Source organism: Homo sapiens, chromosome 14, assembly GCF_000001405.40.
Source record: "Homo sapiens chromosome 14, GRCh38.p14 Primary Assembly".
Taxonomy (NCBI): Eukaryota; Metazoa; Chordata; class Mammalia; order Primates; family Hominidae; genus Homo; species Homo sapiens.
The window spans coordinates 31,765,790-31,791,582 of NC_000014.9; the positions used below are offsets into that span (position 1 = coordinate 31,765,790).

The window sequence follows — 25,793 nt, forward strand, 5'->3', positions numbered from 1 at the left end:
TGAACTTGAAAAGCATTTGGGCTAATTAATTTTGACTACCTCTTTATTTATAAGCCAGTTTGGTACCATAAAGAATATATAAACAGACATGTACACATATGTATACACAAAAATACAGACAGACAGAAATAAGGATCTTACAGCTTTAGTTTTAAAACTTTAGCCATGAGTTAGGTAAAACTCACTAGTTTAAAAGGACAGTTGTCACTCTTATAAATGGAACAGGCTGAAATTTATATGTCTCATATGGCCCAAGCCCTTACTGAGTTATAGAAAAAAAGCAGGGTAGCAAATTTATATCTCAAAGCACACACAAATAGAATTTAAGTTTTAAAGGAGTTTGGTTGTGTTTGTTAGAGGAAGATTAAAAATGGATGCCAAAGTAACACAAAATCATAGGGATTTACCACAGGATTTTATGAGGAGACCAATTTTATTTAGAATGATAGTTTTTAACTTAGTCTGTTTTCCAACTGGACCATTGAGCGCAGGGTAGAGCCCATTAAATGGAGCACTGTCAACAAAGCATTTGCAGTTTTTAGGGCCTAGTCATTTAATTATGTGAAAAGCAGCCTCCGGTTGGAAGGCAGAACATTTAGATTTTTTAAAATAAAGGATTCTGCTTTTACTTGAACCCCCAGTGTCCTGAAAGAGGAAAACACCATGGGACCCAGCTGCACAATGTTTCCACAGTGTACTTTGCTCCAAAGAAATTTCTCTGAGTGTTTAAACTTCACCTGTCTTATCTAAATGCTCAAAGAAACAAGTAGCCCCATTATAGTAATACCCATTTACTATAAACAACTGCTGTCGGCCACCTCCAAAACTGCAGTTATCGCCATTGACTTATCAGCCATCACATACAACAAAGTCAAGTTTCTCTCTCACAACTGTAAAGTCTCAAAGTAATCTCTGGTACCCCAAAAGCCAGTGAGATCAGGTAACACAAATACAAATGAGAGTAGAGTTTTAGAATTGAGAAGAATCTGCCTACGATTCTTTAAATTCCACAGGAAGACCGAAGACCCCCAAAAGGGGTTGTTGGCACCTTTTCCTTTGTTCCTTATGGAGTCTGATTCATTAGAAGTTCCTCCCAGATTATTTTATGTGGTACTGAAGATGGCAAAGAGGAAGAAAGAGTAGGGAGAAGTAGATGGGAGAATAGTTCTTAAAAAAGGAAGCAGAGGGAACAAATACATAATTAAAAAAAAAAGATTTTAATCTACTGAAAAAAATTTTCTAACGGCAAAATCCAAACAGAAGATAAAAGTGCCCCCCTCAAAGCCCCATATATATATCAGCTTTAATTAAGCTGACTTCTGATCATAGAGCTCTTTTTAAAAAATCCATTCAAATCTCTTGTTATTAGATTTTAGCCAGGACAAACAGCTGCTATTTCTGGCTTATTTATTTATTTTATGTATTTTTTGAGACGGAGTTTCGCTCTTTCAGCTCTTGGCTGGAGTGCAGTGGCGCGATCTCGGCTCACTGCAAGCTCTGCCTCCCGGGTTCAAGCCATTCTCCTGCCTTAGCCTCCTGAGTAGCTAGGACTACAGGCGCCCGCCACCATGCCTGGCTAATTTTTTTGTATTTTTAGTAGAGACAGGCTACTAAACACCATCACCGTGTTAGCTAGGATGGTCTCTGTCTCCTGACCTCATGATCCGCCCGCCTCAGCCTCCCAAAGTGCTGGGATTACAGGCGTGAGCCACCACGCCTGGCTTATTTCTGGCTGTTTTAACCAAAGGTAACTTACCAAGTAGCAAAGCAGTATCCCCACAAGTTGAAATTCACACAAATATCAAACCAACAGGGACTGCTTCCCTGACTGGGAATTGAACCTAGGATGCAGCAATGAAAGCACAAAGTCTTAGCCACTAGACCACAGGGTGGATGTGTTTTTTTATTTTGTTTTGTGTTTTTTTTTGTAAATCTTGCAGGGAGGCGAAAGCAGGCAGTTTGATCATTTAAAGGATTTTTGGAAGGCTTAGGTGGGAGAATGGCTTGAGCCCAGGAGATGGAGGCTGTAGTGAGCCATGATGGTGCCACTGCACTCCAGCCTGGGCAAGAGTGAGAACATGTCTACATACGTACATACATGCCTTTACATACATGTTCCAGATCTGATCTCACCTGGCATACTGCTTAGCTAACTCCCTGAATATTCATGTTTCAACAGTGTTAGTCATTAGTCTTGGTTTAGAAAAAGTTTGTTGGATCTGCATTTTTATAATCTTAGTAATTTTATTGTCATTTATTTCTACCTTTTAGACTATCAGTCTTCCAATTACCTGTTTCATTGCCCTAAGCAGTTGTTGGCTAGACAACAAAGATGTATTTTGGAGACCCATCTTTTCAATGGGTGGTGTTTTTAACTTAGCTTCTGTTTCTTAGCTAAAATTCCTGAGTTTGGCAGGAGCCTATCAAGCAATAGGGCAAAGAAAATATTCTCATCTTAGATAGCTCTGAAGAAGAAGTAAGCCTACTTTACCTAAGGCTTTAATAAACACTTTATCCAGGATAGCTCTCTTTTAGCCTTTTGTGAAGAGTTTTTTAAAATAGGCAACAAAATGTTGAAATCTTTTTAGAAGCTTCTGCACATCAGTAAGCATCCTTGGATGAGACTAATGCAAGAGCTCTCATTTTGAAATGTATTTTCTTAAAGTGCAGCATTGTTTGGAACATTTCACTGCCTTAAAAGTATGCCATTTAGAAGAAAACCTCTGGTGCTTAACTACCAGTCCTTTGACCTGAAACTCTGTTGTGAAACAGGGTTGGAAAAACTTGGACCTAAACCCCCAGTACTGAGACAGGTGGAAGCAAAGGCATTTCTCTGCAGAGCTCTTTACCTGAATCTCCTGTCCAAAGACAGAGACTGAAACCCTCACTCTTAAAGGAAAAAGAAGCTTTGAAAAACAGTCTAAATCTAGACCTTCAACCAAAGAGTGAGAGGTATGAATTCAGAAGAACTTACCCAAAACACCCATTGAGACTTGTGAAGATGAAGAGTTCATCCTGGTACCAAGCATTGCTTTCAGAGAAACACCAGGTGGTTGGGGTGGGGGCCATGCAAAGGGGAAGGTTCACTCCGAGTCCTGCCGACTTATGCCATGTATGTCAATCTGAAAGGAAGAAACTAGGTAAAACTAATATAAGTAGAGAGTTTATTTGGGCCAAGCTTGAGGATTGTAACCCAGGAGCACAGATTCAAGATCAGCCGCAGTTACAAGTGGATGTTTAAAGGCAAAAAAGAGGACAGGGAGTGGGCCGATACAGAGTTGTTAGGAATTCTCATTGGTTTACACAAATAACATTGATTAGTGATGGTAATACATTGTTAAGCTATAGGGTATGGGCTACAGTGTCCGGCGCAACATATTATGTCAGTTTATAGCTACTTTATGACAATAGCAAGCAGTTTCAGGAGATGAATACATAGCTCATAGGAGAAGGAGGATGTGATTACAGTCTCCTTTTAATGTCTCTCTGGACTTGATAATTTTTAAAGAGTCACATTCCTCAGATAAAAGTTATTTTCTCAACCTTCAAGGAGTCATGATTGAATCCCCTCCTAGCTCCTTACCTAGAGGTTGGGGGGACAATCTTCTCAACAATGTTTCAGGAATGCATTAACTTTGTAAATTTTAATGTTCTTTATTGGTATAACTCATTCTTACATACACTAGAATGAGATGTGTTGGATGGCACTCAGTGTATATTGTGGTTCAGTATAAATTTAAATGAGGTTTTACAAAATTCAGCTAAGTTTTCCAAAGGAAATATGATCATTCCATTAAAAAAAAAGTTTGTTAAACATACCAAGTAGTTTGGAGCTTTCCTGTTCTTATATAAGGTAACCCTCTCCTTTTTTTTAAAAAAAAAAGCTTCTTTGTTATTTTGGTGCTTTTGGATAAAAATTCCTTTTGCTCACCTTTTCCTTAAATCCCTCACAAATATTTTTCAGTTTACACAAACAGATCATAGTCATGGTATTTTTTTTTCAGTAGTTGGAAGGAAACTTAGTGCTTACCTAATCTAAAATAGTTTATTTTACAGATGAGAAAACTAGGGTCCCGAGAGGTTAATTGGCTGTCCTGTGGTCACACAGCTAGTTTGTGACAAGAATGATTAGAATTTAGGTATGCCAGTCTCCCTAAACTGAACTTACTCCTTTATTTGATGAATAGATATCTGGATTCTTGTCTGTCCCTAGCTAGATTTATTGTCTTGATTTTTGCCAAACTTCCCATTTCAGTGCTTGTTTTTTTTAATAGTAATTAATATCTGAACCAGAATGTTAAATCTCAAAACTTCATTTTAATAGTTCATCCTGTAATTGCCTGGTGGGTTCATCTTGTCCACTGCCCAGACAGAGCTGATGTATCTATGCAGGGGAATTGCAATAGAGAGAGAGTTTAATACACGTAGAGCTGGCTAAATGGGAGATCAGAGTTTTATTATTACTCATATCAGCCTTCCCCAAAATTTGGAGGCTAGAGTTTTTCAACATAGTTTGGCAGGCAGGGTGCTAGGGAATGGGTGCCACTGATTTAGTTGGGGATGCAATCACTGGGGCGTGGAAAATGGTCCTTGTGTGCTGAGTCTACTTCTGGGTGGGGACTACAGGAAGAGTTGAATCATGAGTCTTTGGTCTGAGTGAAGTCATCTGGTTGTCAGAAATGCCAAAGTCTGAAAAGACATCTCAAAAGGTCAATCTTAGGTTCTACAATAGCGATGTTATTTACAGGAGTAATTGAGGAAGTTACGAAACTTGTGACTTCTAGAATGATGACTGCTTATCATTTACGCCTACATCTTAGCTGAATTCTACCCCTTTCATAATTCTAACCTTGTAGCCTTTCATTAGTTTTACAAAGGTGGTTAAGCTTTGGGAAGGCTTATATCATCTTTACTGTAAGATTAAACTAGAAACTAAATTTCTCCTAAAGTTAGCTTGGCCCATGCCCTGGAAAGACCAAGGGCAGTTTGGAGGTTAAAGGCAAGATAGAATTGGTTAGGTCAGATCTTGTTCACTGCTGTAATTTTCTCACTGTTATAATTTTTGCCAAGGCGGTTTCAGTACTTAAAATAAAACTGCATATAGAGCTACAATTTCTCTCAGTTGATTTCTTATTTGCTATGATTTAATCTTTACATTTAAAAATAATATCTATTGAGTCAGTTTCAAAAATATGTTCAAAAAGCTGTGGGTGTTTAAAAATATTTTAAAGTATTATATCTTTTCTTAGTCTTTATAGGTTATTTACTTTGATTTAAATGATTACTCCATGTAATTTTCTTGTATAGATGGTTGGTAGAATTATACTGATTTAAAACAAAACCTGAATTTAATGGTAGATTATTAAAAGCTAAAGTATTCTTCAACCTCACAAAGTCAGGAAATTTACACTCTAGATTTCCATGGTAACTAGGATACTTGCTTTACAATACAAAAGACTCTCAAAGGATCATGTAAGGAAAGAATACTTACCTACCATTAAAAACATATTCAGAAATAAACGTTCTTATAATGAACCAGAATAGGAAAAAAAAAGGAAAGCAAATGAATAATTCTTCTATTTCTAACTTACATTGTGTAATAATTTTCTATGGGTATACAAGTTTTATTTTATATATCTATTTTATCCTACACTGAAGAAGTAATATAATAAAGCTCCTATGTTCTTGAGGTTATGAGGATGTGTTAGCAGAACTCTTCAGGGATTTGAAGAACAGTGATGCTGTGCTGCATTCTGTGCAAGACTAGGAACATGACTTGAGTCACACAGACCAGGATCTAAATCCCATTCCTAATCACTCACCAACAGCCTAACCTTGGACAACTCTTGTAACTTCTCTAATCCTCAGTATTTTTGTCTGTAAAATAGAGATATTATGCTGATTTACAGTGTTGTACAATTATGTATATACAGTATATCTAATGTCAGCCTTATAATAGGCTCTCAATAACTATTAATTTCCTTGTGCTCTCCTTTACCTATTACCCCACTTCTTCCATTTACCAGCCCATTTCCACCCGAGGGACCCTAAGGCTCAAAATTAGGATGTGACCACAGATGGCAGGTAGGTGGAACTGAGGAATAAACTTGGTTGGGATAGTTCTTCAGATCATCCCTAGCATGCAGTATGCTAGTCTAACGCAGTAATGTCCTTCAAGTGCTCTAATACCTTAACCACTGAACAGTGTCTGTAGATACTCTTAGGGGGCTTCAGAAAGCCACTTCTATGACAGCTATACTCCTGTCCCTTTAGGACCTTGAATCTTCCCAAATACAAGTATTTTTTTCTAAAGATTTTCTTAAAATTTTCTTAAGACCTTTAGTAAAAGTGTATTGTAGCTTTATATTTTTCTTTATTGGAGTGCTACACATCTAAATATATTTTATAAGCTATTCCAAATTAGGTTAATACAGTGATTGATTACTCCTACTGGAAAAAATTTGAAATTTCAGCCTTTGAGGTAGAGAAGATTTTGATAAAATTTATTTTGACAATTTCTTTAAAATATCTTGATTCTTAAGCAGGTTTGTAATATATTAGGCCTTTTTGGTAGCAGTCCTGTCCTTCAATAACATCACCTTCCTAGGTTATGAACATCTGTATATATAAGCACTTGGCCTAAAGCAGGACTTTAGAGAACTTAGAGAGGTGTTTCTATAATTAACTGAAATACTGTTACTTGTGTGATAGTATCATTATTTTTATATTTGAAGCTTTACTATTTCAACTGTACTGTGGATTTACATAGCCATCTGTGGGCTAGCTGGGGAACTGATAATGTTTTAAATATTAGTTCAGAAAATAGATTCAGAATTACCAAAGATTGACCCATGTATCAACTTTTGGATAACAAGACCTCTGTGAGTTGATGGTGTCTTCAGATCGTCAGGGCCAGCCTGCTGTGTACCTCTGCAAGGAGGACAACTAAGAAAAAGGGAGGTGATAAAGGGAAAGAAAAGGAGTAAGTTTCTTCTTTTATCTCTTAAAATTGTCTGCTGTTACTTTTTGAACTCATAGTGACTTTAGAGGGGTTTATTTAGATAAACAGCCTCCTCTCCCACACCCTTTTTTCTTTTAGAAAGAAAGACATTGTAAAAAGGATTAGAGAACTTTTTATCATTTGGGAAGAAAATGAAAAGATTAGGGAAGAACATTTATATAATTATTATAACTTGAATAATATGTTTTCATTTTATAACTGGGTCAGCTCTTACCTGAACAATCTCAAGGATGTTTATTGTATATTGTATCATTTATTTCCACAAGTCTGTAGGCCATCAACTAAAGTAAAAATCTTTTTATTATTCAGATTTTTATTGTGGCATTTATATTTAAATAATTTCTCCTGTGTAACAATTTTCTTCTTGCAATCAAAATAAAATGTTGCATGATTTTACATATAGGCCACTGGGTAAAACAAAACACATGCCTCAGATGTAAAGAAAAACACTTTCTGCTCAATTTTAGATTTATGTTGTACATAAAAGGTGCCTCACATGGCAAAAATTTTAATTTTAGTTGTATAATAAAATTTTAAGGGGCAACTTGACTCATAGAATCATTTGGCAGATATTGAATGAACACTGGTTAGATATTGTGGAGGTATGGATCTGGAGGGAGAGTCCAGAGATGGATGTAAATATTTTCTTCGTTTAGGGAGCATAAACTGAAGTTGAGAAGATAGTTACATATAAAAAAATTATCCCAGAATCCTTAGAACTGGAAGACCCATTCAAACCCTGGAAGTTAGTTGAATAACGATCCTAGGAGCTTGGTAATTTGCCTGCAAAATTTGTCCACCAGGTTAGCTGCATCTCTATACCAATAGTGGCATGCTTTCATGCTCTGGGATTCTGAGTTAAGCATGAGTAATGTTCTGTTTGCTAGTAGGGTAGGACTATACCTAACTGACGTAGAAGAATCAGGAAATTAGGAGCAAACAGCAAACTTGATTATAGAATAGAAGTAGCAACAGGTATATGGCCAGAATCAGATACAAGGACACTATCTTGAGATCCACTAAGTATAAGTCAAGTAGGCATGAGACTCAAAACTGAGTAGTCAGACAAGAAGGATAGCAGCAAGGTCTGGTGCAGCCTAACTTGCTTTAAGAAGTTGTCCTGTCACTTATGGCATATTCCAACCACCATATGAGTGGGCTACCTGGACACAGCCCACTTTTGAGCTGTTCAAACCAATCTAGATCTCTTTTACTTCATGATTTCTCTATTTGTTCTTTGGTTACACCTTTCCATGCCCTTAGGATTTTAATTCTTCTTGGCCACCACTTTGACTCCAGCAGAGCTCTCTGTCTTAGCAGTGATTTTCTTCCCTGATTCTGTGTGGCTGAGTTTACACCACTGCTGATGTTATTTTCATCTGGCTCACATTGGCCTTGCTAGCAGAATAGAATGGCTGGGATATTCTGCCATTGCTTTGGAGAAGTGTAAGTTGACCCTATGGTCCTTAGACTTGGCTTATGTAATGCTAATGATAGAAACTGCTACTCTGGAAACTGATTGTGGGAAACTGCTTGTGGTAAACTGCTTGAACCAGCTGAGAAGCCTAAAATGGAACTATTGACCATACATTCATTGGACCCTTTCTGTTCATCATGTAGAATTCAACCTATTTGCACTTGTGTTCCCAGAATCTTTCAGAGTGAGACCTGATTGCTGCTGTTTTGATCTGTTTCTTAAGTGTCCCTAAAAGATAGAGACCCGAGTTCTTTTCCTATTCATAACACCATATTCTTTATAACGGATGTCCTGAAAAAGACAAATTACCTTATCTGCCCAAATATAAAATACAATTTTAGTTCCCAGTCATTCCTCAGAAAAGAGGGAATTGCCTTTATTTGAGTCTTTGAGTTATTCTCAGATTATTAGACATTATTTTGAGTGTAAAATGTAAAATATTATTTGAGGAAAACATGTTAGCCTAAAATTACCATTGTCAGCATTAGTTTGGGCTATTTCCCTTGATAAACCCGTGATGTAATCAATCATGCCCTCTCCCCTCCATAGAGGTTGGGCCTGGGACTCAAAGTTTCAACCCTCTAATCACAACATTGATTCCCCTGGAAACCAGTCCTCATCTTGAGGCTATGTAGGTGCCCCCAGCCACCAGTCAACTTATTAGAATACAAAAGATACTCTTATCACTCTAGTGATTCCAAGGATTTTAGGATTTATGTCAGTAAATGAGACAAAGACCAAATACATATTTCACAATATTATAAGGACAAATGAAGAAAACAACTATCTCAATATTGAATGGCTTTGCACAACAGCTCACTGAATGCATTCTATTTGGATCCAAAAGTGGCTGGGCATGGTGGCTCATGCCTGTACTCCCAACACTTTGGGAGGCCGAGGTGGGCGGATCACCTAAGGTCAGGAGTTCAAGACCAGCCTGACCAACATGGTGAAACCCTGTCTCTACTAAGAATACAAAAATTAGTTAGGCATAGTGGCACATGTCTGTAATCCCAGCTACTTGGGAGGCTGAGGCAGGAGACTCGCTTCAACCTGGGAGGCAGAGGTTGCAGTGAGCCGAGATCATGCCATTGCACATCAGCCTGGGCGACAAGAGCAAAACTCCATCTCAAAAAAGCAAAACAAAACAAAAGAAAGCAAAAAAACAAAAGTGCCATATCTCACATTAGAGGGTAATAATGGTCATGTGTTACTATGTACAAGAGACATCTAGCAGGGAGCCTCTCTTGGCTGACTCAAGTCTGAACTGTTGCGCCTGATCTGTACCTCATCCTACCCTTCTCAGCTGTCTTGGCCACTTGCTTTGTTTTTGATTAATTCATTATGCTGTCTATATCCTTCTTAATTTGATGCACATATTTGATTTCCTGGCTACCTTGATGAACTTTCTGCTGCATTACTGCCTCTCTATCCACAGGGCATCTCTGGAGTACCTTGGTAACTCCAATTTCTAGACTAACTGAGTCTACCCTGCTGAAATCCTTTGAGTTTGGAGCCTGAAAGAGAACTGAGAAACTTTTACCAAAGGTAGGGTTACCATGAAGCTAATAAAGCTTAAGTTCAGGGTTCTACATCTGCATAGGATCCTGGGATATTCTGGGAATTTAGAATGTTCTAGATGGGGAGAGACAGCCAGGTTATGGTCAGGAAGGTCAGGAAACATTTCTATATAAGCATTTCTGTTCAAAGAGTTCTCAGAGAAGGAATGTGAGTCTCTAAGCCTCCAGAAATTTATGGTAATTTCTTTTCGTGTTCTAAGTAAATATTTACTTTTGTACCTAAGTTTTCATTTATAATTTGGTATTCTTATTTTAAGAGATGACCACTCAAATTGTATATGCTTCAGGCCACACAAAATCTGGATCCACCACTGGGTTTTACTAAATGAGATGCTTGGGTGTTTTGCTAGTTCTTATTTCCCTATACTTAGTAAAATATAATTTATACAACAGTAAGTAGAATCTAGAGCCTCCCCAAATCATTCTAAAATCATTGCTTTCGTGGCTCCTTTACAAGAGAACTGGAACTGTCACCAAACCAAACTAGATCTGTTTGACTGCACAGATGAGTTTGCCTTCACACACAATGGGAAGCCAAGCACTGAAGCACCAGATTTTTACACTGAGAAAGGTTTATTGCAAGTCGACTGACAAGGAGACAGAAGGAAACGCTCAAATCTGTCTTCCCAAGCTGACTGGATCCTGCCATGGAGTCATGCCAGGACTTGATCTGATTGGATCCTGAATCCTGCCATGCAGTATCCACCTCTTAATTCAGTCCTTACTCCTTAGTCCAAGCACTTAGGTTCTGCCCATTTGGTTCATCTTCATGTTCAGGTTATGTGACCTTCAAACTGGGGGTCCAACAGCAACTGAAAAACAGCCCATAGCTTTGTTACATAAAAGTTTACCAGATTGGTCTAATACAGTTCCAAATCGCCCCTTTATTATGTCCATTCCTCAGTATTGAGGGAAAAGGGGTGACAACCACTCTAGCTAGTTCCTGCTGGTTAGATAGTAGACCTTGGTTAGAGAAATGAAATTGTTTAGTGCTCAGGATTATGTTTCAGAAGAAGTTACTTCAACCCAGTTCTAGGACAAAGGAATAAAGAGTTAGCAACCTGAACATTGTTTGTTTCAGAGAACAAGGGAAAGAAATCTCAGATTTTATAGCAAAAGTTCACACCCAGGTTCCCAATCAGTTCTCTTTGTGCAAATGAAGGATTGAAACTTGTAACTTGCTTAGTTCTGATTGATTGATACAGCTCAACTCTGATTGACTGGTTCAAGTGAGCCCCAAAGGTTCTATAGATTAAAATGTGTGAGTTTTGGAAGAAGAGTATGTGTATAACTTGTAGTCAGCAAATGGCTACATGGCTCTATTTAAAATTTAGGCTCAGTCAGCTACTCAGGATCCATCTTGAAGGACTGGCTCAAACCTGTTGGCAGATAGCATTGCATCCCATCATGGTGCCAGAGTGGTTGACTACCTGCTCCAGGTCCATCTGGTCCCTTGTAGAGATCCTTGAGGCAGGGCAGTGGCCAATTGAACGACTAGAGTCTTTTACTTATGAGAGGCACTCAAATGTGTGCTAAATTTGAACCAAAGTCTCTTGGGTTAAGTTGGTTCCTGTTTCCAGCTAAAATGAGTTTAAAGTCTTAAGGATTGAGTCGGCACAATCCTAGTGGGAGTCGCTTGCAGACAGCTGTTAAAATAGGCTAGAACAATTTTAAAGAGCAGCCAAATGCTTAGCCCAAATATGAGGAGGATCATTAAGACTTGTAGGGTGAAACACAGAAGGAATCTTATACCAGGGTTAAGCCAGCTGAAAACGTCTGGACATTGGAAATTCCACCCAATAAGTCCAGCCAGGAGTCTTTCTGAAGGTGTCCCTTTCAGAGATTTGGCTAACATTATAACCTCAGATGTTCCCAATTCACCTGAGTGGTAGTATTTACCCAGATACAGCAGCAAGTATTAGCGATAGCAGAAACACCACCCTGTGCAGTGAGGTGTTAATCTAAAGCAGTGTGGTTGTCTAGGATCACACAAGCAAGGGAGTCTAGGGGAATCTCTGTTGTGCCCTGATGGCATGAGTGGTGAAGCAGGCAGCTCTATTAACAGTGCAGAAAAGTTTCTGACCATTCCAAACAGAACCTAGTCCAAACCAGGACCTCAGAAACCTTCCTGTGCAGCTCCTTCACTAGAGTTAATCCCTTTCAGCAAATCACATCCATGAGTGGCCTCCAACTATAATCCATGGGGTCATTGTCAGTGTTGGCGTGTGCCTCAAGACTCTCAGGTAGCTCTTGGAGAGCAGGAGGCGTAGAATTAGTGAAACTGACTGAATAGATGGGAATTTGCATAAGATCTGTCTGTGGCCAGATCTCCTGGTGAGGACAACTCAAGTATTATTTTCCCCTTTTTTGGGAGAAGGATATGTGGGCCTGACAGGTTTCTAAGAAGTCCTTTCCCAGGAGGTGAATGGGGGCTGAACAGACAAAAACAAACAAACAAACAAGCCAAAAAAAACAATGTGGTTTCTCCTGACTGGATGAATTCAGAACTCCAGAGAGAGGGTGTTGAATGCCCACCAAGGTTAAAAAAGACTAAGGAAAGGGCCTAGGGCCAAGGCAGGCTAAATGCCACTCGGGTCTTTGTTATTGGGCTTTTATTATTCTGTTGGTCTGTTCCACCACCCCAGTGGATGTTAATAGGCCAAATTTTATAAACATTTTGAATAATTTGCCCTGTAAAATGAGTTCCTTAGTCACTGTGAAGCTCTTGAGAGACTTCCCAGGTTGATATAATTTTTCCAGTAAGGTTTAACTACTGCCATTGCTGTGACCTATCAAGAAGAAGGTGTTAACCCAGTTTGAAAACATGCAAATCATAATTAGTACGTGCTGGTTTCCTTGTGAGGCAGGGAGCTAAATAAAATCTTGTTGCCATACTTTAAAGGGACCACTCAGCAATGGGAAGTGGCCCATGGAGGCATGCAACAGTTTGCCAGTAGTGTATTGTGGACAAATTTTACACAGATACCAAAGTCATGAACAACCGTGAAGGCATACCTGACATCTTTATAAATACTGGCTGTTTTACCTTTGGCTAAAAGACATGACCTAGTAAGTGCATGCAGTTCCACTTATTAGGCAGACTTGGCCTTAGGAAAGGTAAGTAAAGTGGCAGGATTGGGCAAGTTATTACACCAGGTGATGGTAAGATGAGGATAGAAAGAGAACCTTATGGGTCAGGCGTGGTGGCTCATGCTTGTAATCCCAGCACTTTGGGAGGGAGAGGCGGGTGGATTACCTGAGGTCGTGAGTTTGAGACCAGCCTGACCAACATGGAGAAACCCCATCTCTACTAACATTACAAAATTAGCTGGGCATGGTGGTGCATGCCTGTAATCCCAGCTATTTGGGAGGCTGAGGGAGAATCTCTTGAACCCGGGAGGCGGAGGTTGCAGTGAGCCGAGATGGCGCCATTGCACTCCAGCCTGGGCAACAAGAATAAAACTCCATCTCAAAAAAAAAAAGAAGAAGAAAGAAAGAGAACCTCATCATTTGCTAGCTGGCTTATGATGTGACTTGAAGAGAGCCGTGACAGAGTATGGAATGGAGATAGTGAGAGGTAGCCCCATAACTATCTTCTCTATGGCTTTTACAAGGAAGAGACAGCATCAACTGCTCTGAGACAAGGGGTCATAGTATCCTAAAGGTCTAGTTTGTCCCCAATTCTGATATTACACTAGTAATATCAGATTTAAAAAGGGGAAATCCCCTGAATGTCCTCAGAGCATCCCTAGTCTGGATTGTGAAAAGAGGGCTGAGGGACTCCATTGGGATTTAGTTATAACCAACTATTGGAGGAACTTAGGAAGATTCAGTTCAATCTACAGATAGATAACAAGGACTTGAAGACAGTGCACAGAGTTACAATCTAATAACAGATGTACTTTTGCTTTCCTTAGAAGCATAACTTTTTCTCTCCACAGTGATCATCTAAGAAATCTCAGATTTAGAATCTTTTGCAGCTGGGAAGCCAAACCGAGGCAGGTTTTTGGAGTTTACTTACAGTCTTAAGGTTCTTGGGCCTGCCAGGAAGTGACAGTTTTCATTCACTCCCTGAAAAGCTGGGAACTCCTGAAGCCAGGCATTTTATTCACATTCTTAAATATGACATTTCAGTCCAAACCTTAGTAATATAACCAATGTTTCCCATTGCATCTTGCTTATAAAGAGAGAGCACATTTTTTTTTTTTTCCCTGAGACGGGGTCTTGCTGTCTTACCCAGGCTGGAGTGCAGTGGCGAGCTCTTGACTCACTGCAGCCTCTGCCCCCCAGGTTTAAGCAATTCTCCTGCCTCAGTCTCCAGAGTAACTGGGATTACAGGCATGTGCCACCATGCCTGGCTAATTTTTTGTATTTTTTTTTTTAGTAGAGATGGGGTTTCACCAAGTTGGCCAGGCTAGTCTGTGAACTCCTGACCTCGTGATCCACCCTCCTTGGCCTCCCAGAATGCTGGAATTACAGGCGTGAGCCACTGTGCCCGGCTGAGAGAGCAGATTTTTTACTGAACTTACATTACATAAAAATAAGAATACTCATTAATGGTTTCTAAATTTTGTAGGAATCAAGTTGTGAGAAAAAGCAAATGCTCCCACCCTTGTTCACAAAGGATATGTTATCAAATTATTGCAAACTCTAAATAACTTATGACAGAAAATTTCCTAAGTCTAGAAAACAAAACATTTAAGTCATAACAATTAAGTTATGACTTAACGATTAAGACTTAAAAATAAAGTCTTAACAATTACTTAACTTCAAGTAGTTTTGTTTTTCTCAGTCTTAATTAATAATTTTGGACTATAGCCAATTGCAAGTGCTTCCAGAGAAAAATTTGAGATAATAACTGTGGATAACAAAAATTCAGAACAGCCACAGTCAAAGATCTGATGAGAGTTTGTAACTAACAAAGAAATCTAGGTATTTCGGTAGCATATAACTAATTTCACATCATGACATATACCCCAACATATCCGAATTTTAGGAATCTTATACAATTTTGGAATAACTTTTAATAGCACATTTACACAAATATGGCTTAAAGGAAATTCAACAGCATTCCTTATTTGACAGTGCTTCCCATATTATTTACCAAATAAGCTTAATCATTTAAAATCTCTGTAAGATGAGAGATGCACCCTTTGAGGCTCTCCAGGGGGCCCACCTGTAAAATGTCAAAGTTAATTTTAGGCCAAGAAGCTTGATTTAGGATTTGGATCCTGGGAGAACCTACGAAAGACATCAAAAAGTTCAAAGTACTTCCTTCAACAGAATCATAGGTCACTGCCAAATAGTAGTTACTCATTTAACCAGAGTGACAATCAAAAGACTTCAAAAGCAATACAGAAAGTTACATGAATGTAAAAACCTTAACTCTTTTAAACCTCAGTCTTCCTAAGCAATCTTTGTTTCCTAGGCCAGTTACTTTGAGCAGGGGAATACATTTAGTAACAGCATAGGAAGTCCTGGTTACATGAAATAATTCAGACATTTAAGGCCTGGTTACATGAAACAGTGCAGACATATAAAACTACAGAACCAATTTATACTGGGATAAAATATTGCTTTTCTAGACCTTCAAGATAAATCTGAAACCAGAGAAACTAGACAGTTCTCAGGAAGAAATGGGGCAGAAAGAGAAACTTATTTGTAATTCAGAGAATGGCTATTAAAGAAACAGACTTCAGAATTAAAAATCAAAACCTCTTGCAATCTTACCAGGAGCAAATTGATGTCTTAAGACACTCTTGTTATTTTAACATAGAGGGCCAAAATTATAAGTTCTGTGCTTTAATATCAACATTCACTGCCTAGAAAGACTTTTTAAAATTTCTTTTAATTATAGCCAACTTATTCACACCCCAAGTTTCTTTCTTAAAATTTCTATTTATTAACCTTTTCATGACTTACTCAGACCATCTATGACATGCTTAGACTTTCTACCTTTCCCTATAATTCTCTTTCTTAAATAACCAGTCATTTTACTTTAGGACAAAGATTTACTACACATGATTCTTTCTTATACAATATTATTCTCTTTTCTTTATATCCATAACTTTCTTACGTCTCTCTCCCCTTACTATTAGTTCCTTTTTATCTTGTTTCTGTTTCCTTTCTAAATCCATATTGTGAAGCTTCTTTTAAATAACCTCCAAATTTGACAAAATAATTTTTTTCTCACTGAAGAACATATTTTATGTGTTTCTTATAATTTTTTCTTATTAAAAACACACCTGGCCAGGTGCAGTGCCTGACGCCTGTAATCCCAACAGTTTGGGAGGCCGAGGCAGGCATATCACGAGGTTAGGAGTTCAAGAGCAACCTGAGCAAGATGGTGAATCCCCATCTCTACTAAAAGTACAAAAATTAGCTGGGCATGGTGGTGGGTGCCTGAAATCTCAGCTACTCAGGAGGCTGAGACCGGAGAATTGCTTGAACCTGGGAGGCGGAGGTTGCAGTGAGCTGAGATTGCGCCGCTGCACTCCAGCCTGGGCGACAGAGCAAGACTCTGTCTCAAACAAACAAACAATCAAACAAGAAACACCTTTTGGCACAGTTCATTTGAAGAATTATAAATTAGAATTTTTAACTCTTAGTAACCTTAAATTTTATTAAAAACATAGAAATCTTGCTGGGTGTGGTGGCTTACACCTGTAATCCCAGCACTTTGGGAGGCCAAGGTAGGCATATCACCTGAGATCAGGAGTTTGAGACCAGCCCGGCCAACATGGTGAAACCCTGTCTCTACTAAAAATAGAAAAACATTAGCCAATTGTGATGGCGGGCACCTGTCATCCCAGCTACTGGGGAGGCAAGAGGATGGTTTGAACCTGGGAGACGAGGTTGCAGTGAGCCAAGATTGTGCCACTGCACTCCAGCCTGGGCGACAGAGTGAGACTCCGTCTAAAAAACAAACAAACAAACAAACAAAAATAAACATAGAAATCTTGAATTGCCTATTGCATATCAGTCTTTTATAAATAAGAACCATTTTATAATTATTAGAAAAACATGTTTTCCTATAGCATAATTTTTAGAGACCAAACATATTTAGTCTTTCTATTAAATTTAAGAAGTCAAGGAGAGACCTAATTTTGGTCCTTTCATGGCCACCATTTTGTCACCAAACCAATTGGGTCAGTTTGCCTGTGCACAATGGAAATCCAAACACCAGAGCACCAGGATTTTACATTGAGAAAGGTTTATTGTGAGTCAGCTAACAAGGAGACAGAAGGAAATGCTCAAATCCATCTCCCTGAACTGGGGGCTGGTCAGCTTTTATAAGCATAGGGTAATGAGGTGTGATCTTATTATATCTTGCAACGAGGTGATGCCAGGAAGCATGATCTGATTGGATCCTGCCATGGGGTATGCCAGGGCTCAATCTGATTGGATTCTGGATCCTGCCATGTGGTGTCCACCTCCTAATTCAGTACTTACTTCTCAGTCTGAGCACTAGATTCTGTGTGGTCATTTGCTTGGTTTATCAGCAAGCCTTTATAGAAAGCCTACTATGTGTGATGAAGGTACTGGCCCAGGTGTTTTTCAGGTACATTAAATTCAATTCAGAGTCATTTGAAATGAATTGCCTTAACTGTGAAGTATTTTTTGTTCCTTGGAACCTTAATAGCAGTTCTTTTTTTTTTTTTTTTTTCTCTGAGACAGAGTCTTGCTGTCACCCAGGGTGGAATGCAGTGGCGCAGCCTTGGTTTGCTGCAACCTCTGCCTGTTGGGTTCAAGAGATTCTCATGCCTCAGCTTCCCAAGTAGCTGGGACTACAGACACCCACCACCAGGCCCAGCTAATTGTTGTATTTTTAGCAGAGACAGGGTTTCACCATGTTGGCTAGGCTGGTCTCAAACTCCTGACCTCAAGTGATACGTGTGCCTTGGCCTCCCAAAGTGCTGGGATTACAGGCATGAGCCACCACACCTGGCCAATAGCAGTTTTCTTTAAAGAAATAAGAAATTGAAAGTAACATGATAAATATGAGTAAGTGCCAGGGAAAAACAATGATAAATTATTGGCACCAGTCATTTGATGTTCTCTGAAACCCAGAGACGTGTCAGTCTGCCGGTGCTAGGAGTTTTAGTGCCAAGAATGTAAAAGGAAAATGATCCTTCATCTTTTGGGGTAAGTTTTGTCAACCTGAAGTAATCAAAAGGATCAGAATCCAGTTTTAAAGAGTTTATTAACGTGAAAGGCTAGGAACGGCCATCCAGGAAACACAGACTCCAGAGAAATGGAGTCAGCACTCTGAAGTTAAAAGTTAAGGTCTTGCATATAGGAAGAAAACAAAGAAATTTAACAGGATCACAACATTTTCTATATAAGACTGATTTATGAGTTATAACAATTTAGTTACAGTTCGTTTTCTTTTTCCCTATGGCTTGTTTTCTTTACAGCTGGTTTTCATTTCCTTTCCAATTTAAGAATATATTTAATATTCTATCTTAAGACAATGTGATAGTCATGAAGTCATGAAGTCTTTGTATGAGAAAGGTTAAGAGGGAAGTTAATGTATAAGGAAAATCAACAGAGAAGAGGGAAGGAACCTTCCCTGACACCCTTTATTCATTTTACAAAACATTGAAACATTGTAGGTAAGGAAGAAGGCTAATCTGTAATCAGAGAAACAGAGTTATAGCTTTCTAGGTTACATTTGCCTGTCATGTGACTCAGGCCTCATGATCACATTTCTTTAAGGGCTCAAAATAATGTAAAGCTCCAGCAGCTTAGATTTTCAATTATTTTATTTCACAGTTTCATAGATGGAGGTCATGGGTAGTCTCGGGGTAACTATTTTTCAAGCCAAAGAACCCTGTATTGAGAATGAATTCATTATGTTCATCATTTCATCAGTCTATTAAAGTATGTCATTATGTCAATATCAAGTACATGTGTTTGGGAAATTAGGATTCCTAAAAAACAAATCAACATATAATGTCAGATACTGAGGAATGTTTTGAAGAAAACACGATGTCAGGGAAGGAGAGAGTTTAATGGTTATGGGAATGCTATTTTATAAAGGCTATACTGGCTTTTTTGCTATTGCTTGAATGTAGCAAATATATTCCTATTTTAGGGCCTTTGCACTTATTATGGCTTCTGGCTGGAGTTCTTTCCTTCAGATATTTGCATCAGTTGTTTTCTCAGTTTATTCAGGAGTCTGACCACCCTGTCTAAAGTAGCACCTTCCACCATTCAATTCTTTCTCCTTACTCTACACCGTCTGACCTTGGGGACCAAAGAGATTCAAATAAATTCTTTGATAAATCCTTTGCTGTCTGAACTCTTCATACTTGCTATCTGAAATTTGGTAATTGAAGAGATTTTCTAAAATATTTATTCTTATTTGATCTGGATATCTAAATCAGGGACCAAATAATTTTGTATAGTAAGGCAGGGGTTCCCAACCCTTAGCCCACAGACCAGTACCAGACCATGGTCTGTTAGGAACTGACTGCACAGCAAGAGGTGAACAATGGGTTAGTGAATGAAGCTGAGCTCTGCCTCCTGTCAGATCAGCAGTGGCATTAGATTCTCATATGAGCACGGACCCTATTGTGAGGGATCTAGGTTGCACACTCCTTGTGAAAATCTAATGATAAATGTAAATCGCTTGAATCATCCTGAAACTGTCCCCTGCTCCCATCCATGGAAAAATTGTCTTCCACAAAATGGTCCCTGGTGCCAAAAAGGTTGTGGACTGCTGTAGTAAGGGATACCTGTAGTTTTCTTCACAGCACTTATTACTTCCTGATTTGTTTGTCTGTCTATCTGTCTATCTATCTTTCTGCATGTCTCCTTCACTAAATTGTCAGTTCCATCATGGTTGTGATTTTATTATGTTTATTGCTCTATTACCATCACCTGGAACAATGGCTGGCACCCAGTCAATTCTCAATTCATGTGTGTTGAATAGATGTGTTGACATATGAATGAATCTGTTTGACCCAATATCATCTACACTTTTTATTTTAAAAGTATGATTATAGGCCAGGCACGGTGACTCATGCCTGTAATCCCAGCACTTTGGGAGACCAAAGTGGGAGGATCACTTGAGCCTAGGAGTTTAAGACCAGCTTGGCAACATGGCGAAACCCTGTCTCTACAAAAAATACAAAAATTGACCAGGCATGGTGGCACACGTCTATAGTCCCAGCTATTAGGGAGGCTGAGGTGGGAGGATCACTTCAGCCCAGGAGGTTGAGGTTGTAGTGAGCTGTGAGCATGCCACTGCATTCCAGCCTGGGTGATAGAGCGAGACCCTGTCACAAAAATGAATAAATAAATAAATAAGTAAAAGCATGATTATATGGAAAGGACATATTACATGTTATTAAGTTTTAAGGAGCACAATATGAAATTATATACAGTTTCCACTTAGGTTTAAAAAAATCAAGTCTTTGCATGTGTTCATTTAGCCATTCATTCCTTGAAAGAAAACGTCTTGAGCGTCTCCTGTTACCGTTTTATAGGAAGACAGATCATGAAACAACAGTAAATGAATGATAACCTTCTCTTCACTCACTGCTCTCTAGCCATATTGATCTTTCAATTTCTCAAAGTTAGCAAGCTCTTTTCTGTGCACATTTTACTGTCTTCACAGGGCTTCTTGTATTATAAAGCTGGTGATTATGTATTTATGAGGATAGTTATCTGCCTGATATCTCTGTCTCTGTATTGTAACTTCTGTGAGGGCAGGAATCATGATACCATTTAATCGTCAATACCTAGCTCAATGCCCAATACATAGTAGGTATTCAGTAAACATTTCTTGGGCAAATGAATGAACAGGTGATTAGGGGAAGTATGTAGTAGAAACACTTTAATGAGAGTTAGTGGAGCTTTCCCCAAAGAAATGAATTTTAAGCTGGGATCTGAAGAATGAGGAGAAATTAGGAAGTGAAGAAGAACAGGCAGAGTGTTCTGGAGCTTAAGCTTAGATATTATCCTAAAGGCAAGAGAAGAGTTTTAAACAAAATGTAGCACTATCAAACTTCCATTTTTCAGTGTTGTTAGGAACAGACTAGATAGGCAGTGCTGGAGCCAGAGAGGCTGGTTGGGAGGCTTTAATAATAACAGATGGTGGTGGCCTCACTTGGGTTCTTGGCAGTGGAGAAAGAGAGAAGTGGGTGTGTTTGAGAGATTTTTAGAAGGCAGAATAACTGATTGGGGATAGTGAAGGAAAAGGAAGAGTTATTGTCATTCCACGTTTCTGCTTTACAATTGAGAAGATCCTTGGGCCATTAATAGAGACTAGGGACTCAGAAGGAAGAAGTATCTGAGGAGTAAAGAACCTGAGGTACCCTTGAGACCTATCTAAATGAAGGCTGAGCAGTAAGGACTTGGTTATATAGGTGAATATTCTGGGTATAAATAAATGCCTTGAAAGAAAGAATCAAAATGTTAATAATATTGGGACTCAAGTTATATTAAATTTTTTATTATTAAGTTTTGGGTTTCATTATTAGTGTATTTTTGTGAAGGAAATATAATAAACTTAAAAAAATTATATTAGCATGGGAAATGCAAAATTTAAAAAAAGGTGACAAAAAGCTAATATCTTCTTTAGGCAAAATGTGGGCTACACCCAGTAAAAATAAGTGAATGGTCCTGAATAGAAGCCTACTGAGAAGTGAGTTCAACATTAACGTGTGTGTATGCGGATGAGTCATCTGGAAATTTAAACTTGCCATTCAAAGAAGGCCTCCTAGTGGAAGGGCCTGTCATTTATTCATCCATGTATCCTTAGGACTCAGCACAGTGCCTTGTACCTAGCAATGGCTCAAGCGATAGCTATGATTTTATATTTGTTATTAACACATTAATTTTGTTTACATCACTATTCAACATTGAATTTTTATACAATGATATAATCTATGTCATCTTTTTAGGTAGATTGGGGTCAACTGGACTACTTAGTTGTAGACATGCCACCAGGAACTGGAGATGTGCAGTTATCAGTCTCACAGAATATTCCTATAACAGGTAAATCTTCAAAGTTTAAAGTAATTTGTACTTTTTTTGATGTGTTGTTATTGCTATACCAAAAAACAAACTCCATGTTAGGCAAATATTTTGCCTTAAAAATATTCATTCACTTATAAATTTTTCATTAGAGATCAGAAGCATAAATTATTCAAAATATTACCAGAATAAGTATATTTATAAAACCATGAGACTTTTGTTACTAGGAAGAGTGAAGTCTGTGGTTCTTGTTCTTGGGAGAAAGAATTTGTCCAAGAGACAATTTTAGCAAAAAGAACAGAGAATTTATTGAAGAAAGTACATGCCAAGAAAGGAGCAGGCTGGAAAAACAGCAGTAGTAGCAGCAAGGGTTCAGTAGTAGCAGCAAGGGTTAAGTAGTAGCAGAGACAGTATGCTCTGAAAGAGGAGGCAGAATGGGCTGCTGGAAAGAAAATGAGCCAGCAGCCCTGAGAGTTCAACATTGCAGTTTTCATTGTGTTGGACTCTTTCTTTAAGTTCCTGCCTGTCTCAAGTCTCTGCCATTGTCTTTGGCTAGTTTCCCACTTCTGCTTTAAGTCCCTACCTTGTCCCTGACTAGTTCTTGCCACAGTTTTGTAGGATTCTCTTACTCTGAGTTGATGCACATGTGTGTGCCCAGTGTTGGATATGAAGTCTACTTAATGGCATTGTTGCTCCTTACCGCCACCCCAGGAAGGTGGTAAAGTGGTTAAATCTGTACTTACTGTGCCTGTGTATCTCTTAGGAATTTCCCCTTTGCCCTCTTTCTCTTCATATCAGCATGTACCTAGCTACATTCTGACAGGTTAACTGTAGAGTGAGCAATTACTGGGCATCTTAAGGGGTATTTCAGGATGTTCCTTTCTGCATAGGTATTTCCCCTCCTCTCTGTTCATACCTAGCATGCAGGTTTTGGGTAGTCTCTGGGATGTGAGATTTTCTAGTCCTCCTTTTCTCAGGGGCTCTCTCTCCTGCTCATGTCTAGCTATCTGTCTGCTCTAACACTTCACAGAGGTGGTAGTATAAATCTGTGTTCTAGAAAAGCAGTAGCATTTAAGTATTTTTTAGGCAGAACATGACTGGTTCACTGCTGTGCAGCATTTATACTACTGGTACATGACAGGCACTCGGTAAATATTTATTGAGTGAACACTGGATAAGAATAAATATTAGGGGCTGAGTGCAGTGGCTCACGCCTGTAATCCCAGCACCTTGGGAGGCCGAGGTGGGTGGATCATGAGGTCAGGAGATCGAGACCATCCTGGCTAACATGGTGAAACCACATCTCTACTGAAAATACAAAAAGTTAGCCAGGTGTGGTGGCGGGCACCTGTAGTCCCAGCTACTCGGGAGGCTGAGGCAGGAGAATGACGTGAACCCAGGAGGCAGAGCTTGTAGTGAGCTGAGATAGTGCCATTGCGCTCCAGCCTGGGCGACAGAGTGAGACTCTTGTCTCAAAAGAAAAAAAATAAATAAATAAAAATAAATATTAGGAAAATTGGCTTTTTGGTAAATACAACTATGGGAGAATTTTATAGTCTGCTAATTAATATTAAAGTCAAGAAAGCAATAAACATAGCTTATATCAAATACATACTACTTCAATATGGTAATGCATATCTGTTTTATGATACGAAATTTAAATATTAGTACAGTAGTTACCCTTTATTTTGAATCTGTTTCTGAAGATTTTCCTAGATTCCACTAAAGAATAGTTGCAAATCTATAAATAAAAGATTTCTGGGAAAATAATGGAATTTTAAAGTATCTTTGCTAATTAGTTATATACTGATTACCAAACAATATCATTGATATTTAATGATCAAAAGTTTAGAATCTAAGTTTTTGACAAAATATACGTGTTGTTTGGAAATATCAGTATAGCCTCATTAATAGAGATACTTTTGCTGTTTTAACATATTTGTAATCTTAATTGAGTCTGAGACTTTTTCTTTGATAAGGCAGGCTGTAAAATATGAGATGGGAGTAAAATGATATATGAAAATAATTCATTTTTTCATACTGTGATTTTTCTTTTTTTTTTTTGTCTTTTTCCTTTTTAAGGTATTTATAGTTTTAGGATCTTTTATATTTACAAATTTTAAGAATATTTACCAAATGTTCATTTTAAAAAAATGTGCTTCTGATACCTTGGAATGCCTTTTGCAAGCATACAAAATACTTGCATTATTCATATAGATAATACATTAGTAAAATTGGGCTAAATTCTCATTTATGTCTTGAGTAGTGACTTGGCACCTTGAAAAAGTTTAATTTACCTCACACAGATAAACTGATGTTGCCTAAGCAGTTTTTTTCTCCACTTACTTTTCTTTAAGCCCCTTTGGACAAGATTTATGATTAAATTACCCTATTTTAGTTTGTATTTATACTCTAACACCAGCATTGCATATAGATAGAGGTTGAGATTTTCTTCCCCATTCTTTCTTACATCCTAACATTTAACCAGTATATTTCCTTTTTCCTTTCCTCTGATGAAGAGTCTGCCATGTAATAGGCAGTTAATATTACATGAGAGTAAGACATAGTCTTTTTTTTGTTGTGGTGGTGAAATGTGCAGAGCAGTTAAGTAGTACTAATAATATATTGGCATTGTTGTGCAGCCATCACTACTGTCCATCACCAGAGCCTTCATCTTCTCAAACTGAAACTCTGGAGCTATTAAACAGTAACTCTCTGGCCGGATGTGGTGGCTCATGCCTGTAATCCCAGCACTTTGGGAGGCTGAGGCAGGCAGATCACGAGGTCAGGAGATCGAGACCATCCTGGCTAACATGGTGAAACCCCATCTCTACTAAAAATGCAAAAAATTAGCCTGGTGTGGTGGCAGGCACCTGTAGTCCCAGCTACTTGGGAGGCTGAGACAGGAGAATGGCATGAAGCTGGGAGGTGGAGCTTGCAGTGAGCCGAGATCGCGCCACTGCACTCCAGCCTGGGCGACAAAGTGAGACTGTCTTAAAAAACAAAAAAACAAAAAACAGTAACTCTCAATGGATCCTCCATTCTCCCCAGCCCCTGATAACCACTATTCTTAATTTATTTTTTACATTAAAGGAAGACCAAGCAAGAAAATATATTTTGAAAGATTGCATTAATGCCAGATGTAGTGGCTCATGCCTGTAATCCCAGCACTTTAGGAGGCCGAGGCAGGAGGATCACTTGAGCCCAGGAGTTCAAGACCATCCTGGGCAATATAGTGAGACCCTATCTGTACAAAAGAATATTAAACAAAAAAAGTTAGCTGGGAGTGGTGACGTGCACTTGTGGTCCCAGCTACTTAGGAGGCCGAGGCAGGAAGATCACTTGAGCCCTGGAGGTCGAGGATGCAGTGAGCTGTGTTCATGCTATTGCACTCCAAACTGGGTGATAGAATAAGACCCTGTCTCAAAAATAAATAAAAATGAAAAAAGATTTAAACAAACCTAAAATTTATTTTATGATTTATTAATAAACCATTATATCAATAAATTTTGATTCATATGCAAGGTAAATGCCTAGCACTATAGAGAAGAAAAGGATAAGTAAGTCTATTCCCTAGACAAGAGTTCCTTACCTTTTTTGACTTTCAAAGTTTTTATGAGAATTTGATGAAAACTCTGGATTTTCTCCAGGAAAATATATTTATATATGGTATACAGAAACACTAATTTTGTATATAAATTTAGGAAGTTTACACTCCTCAGGTTAAAAG

The 25,793-nt window shown here is 38.5% G+C and overlaps 1 protein-coding gene across 10 annotated transcripts in view; it reads left to right on the forward strand.

Moving 5' to 3' along the window:
• The window catches only part of NUBPL (NUBP iron-sulfur cluster assembly factor, mitochondrial), a 299,821-nt gene that overhangs the window by 204,386 nt on the left and 69,642 nt on the right, over positions 1 to 25,793 (forward strand). For 6 of the 10 annotated variants that reach the window (NM_025152.3, XM_047431787.1, NM_001201573.2 and 3 more), the window contains one exon: positions 21,991 to 22,084. The exons of 2 other annotated variants lie outside the window; for them this stretch is intronic. In NM_025152.3, coding sequence (NP_079428.2) covers positions 21,991 to 22,084 — 94 coding nt within the window. Of the gene's footprint in view, positions 1 to 6,026; positions 10,047 to 21,990; positions 22,085 to 25,793 lie in introns of those variants that run through there. 2 more of the 10 variants (XM_011537184.4, XM_017021665.3) reach the window with 2 other exon arrangements.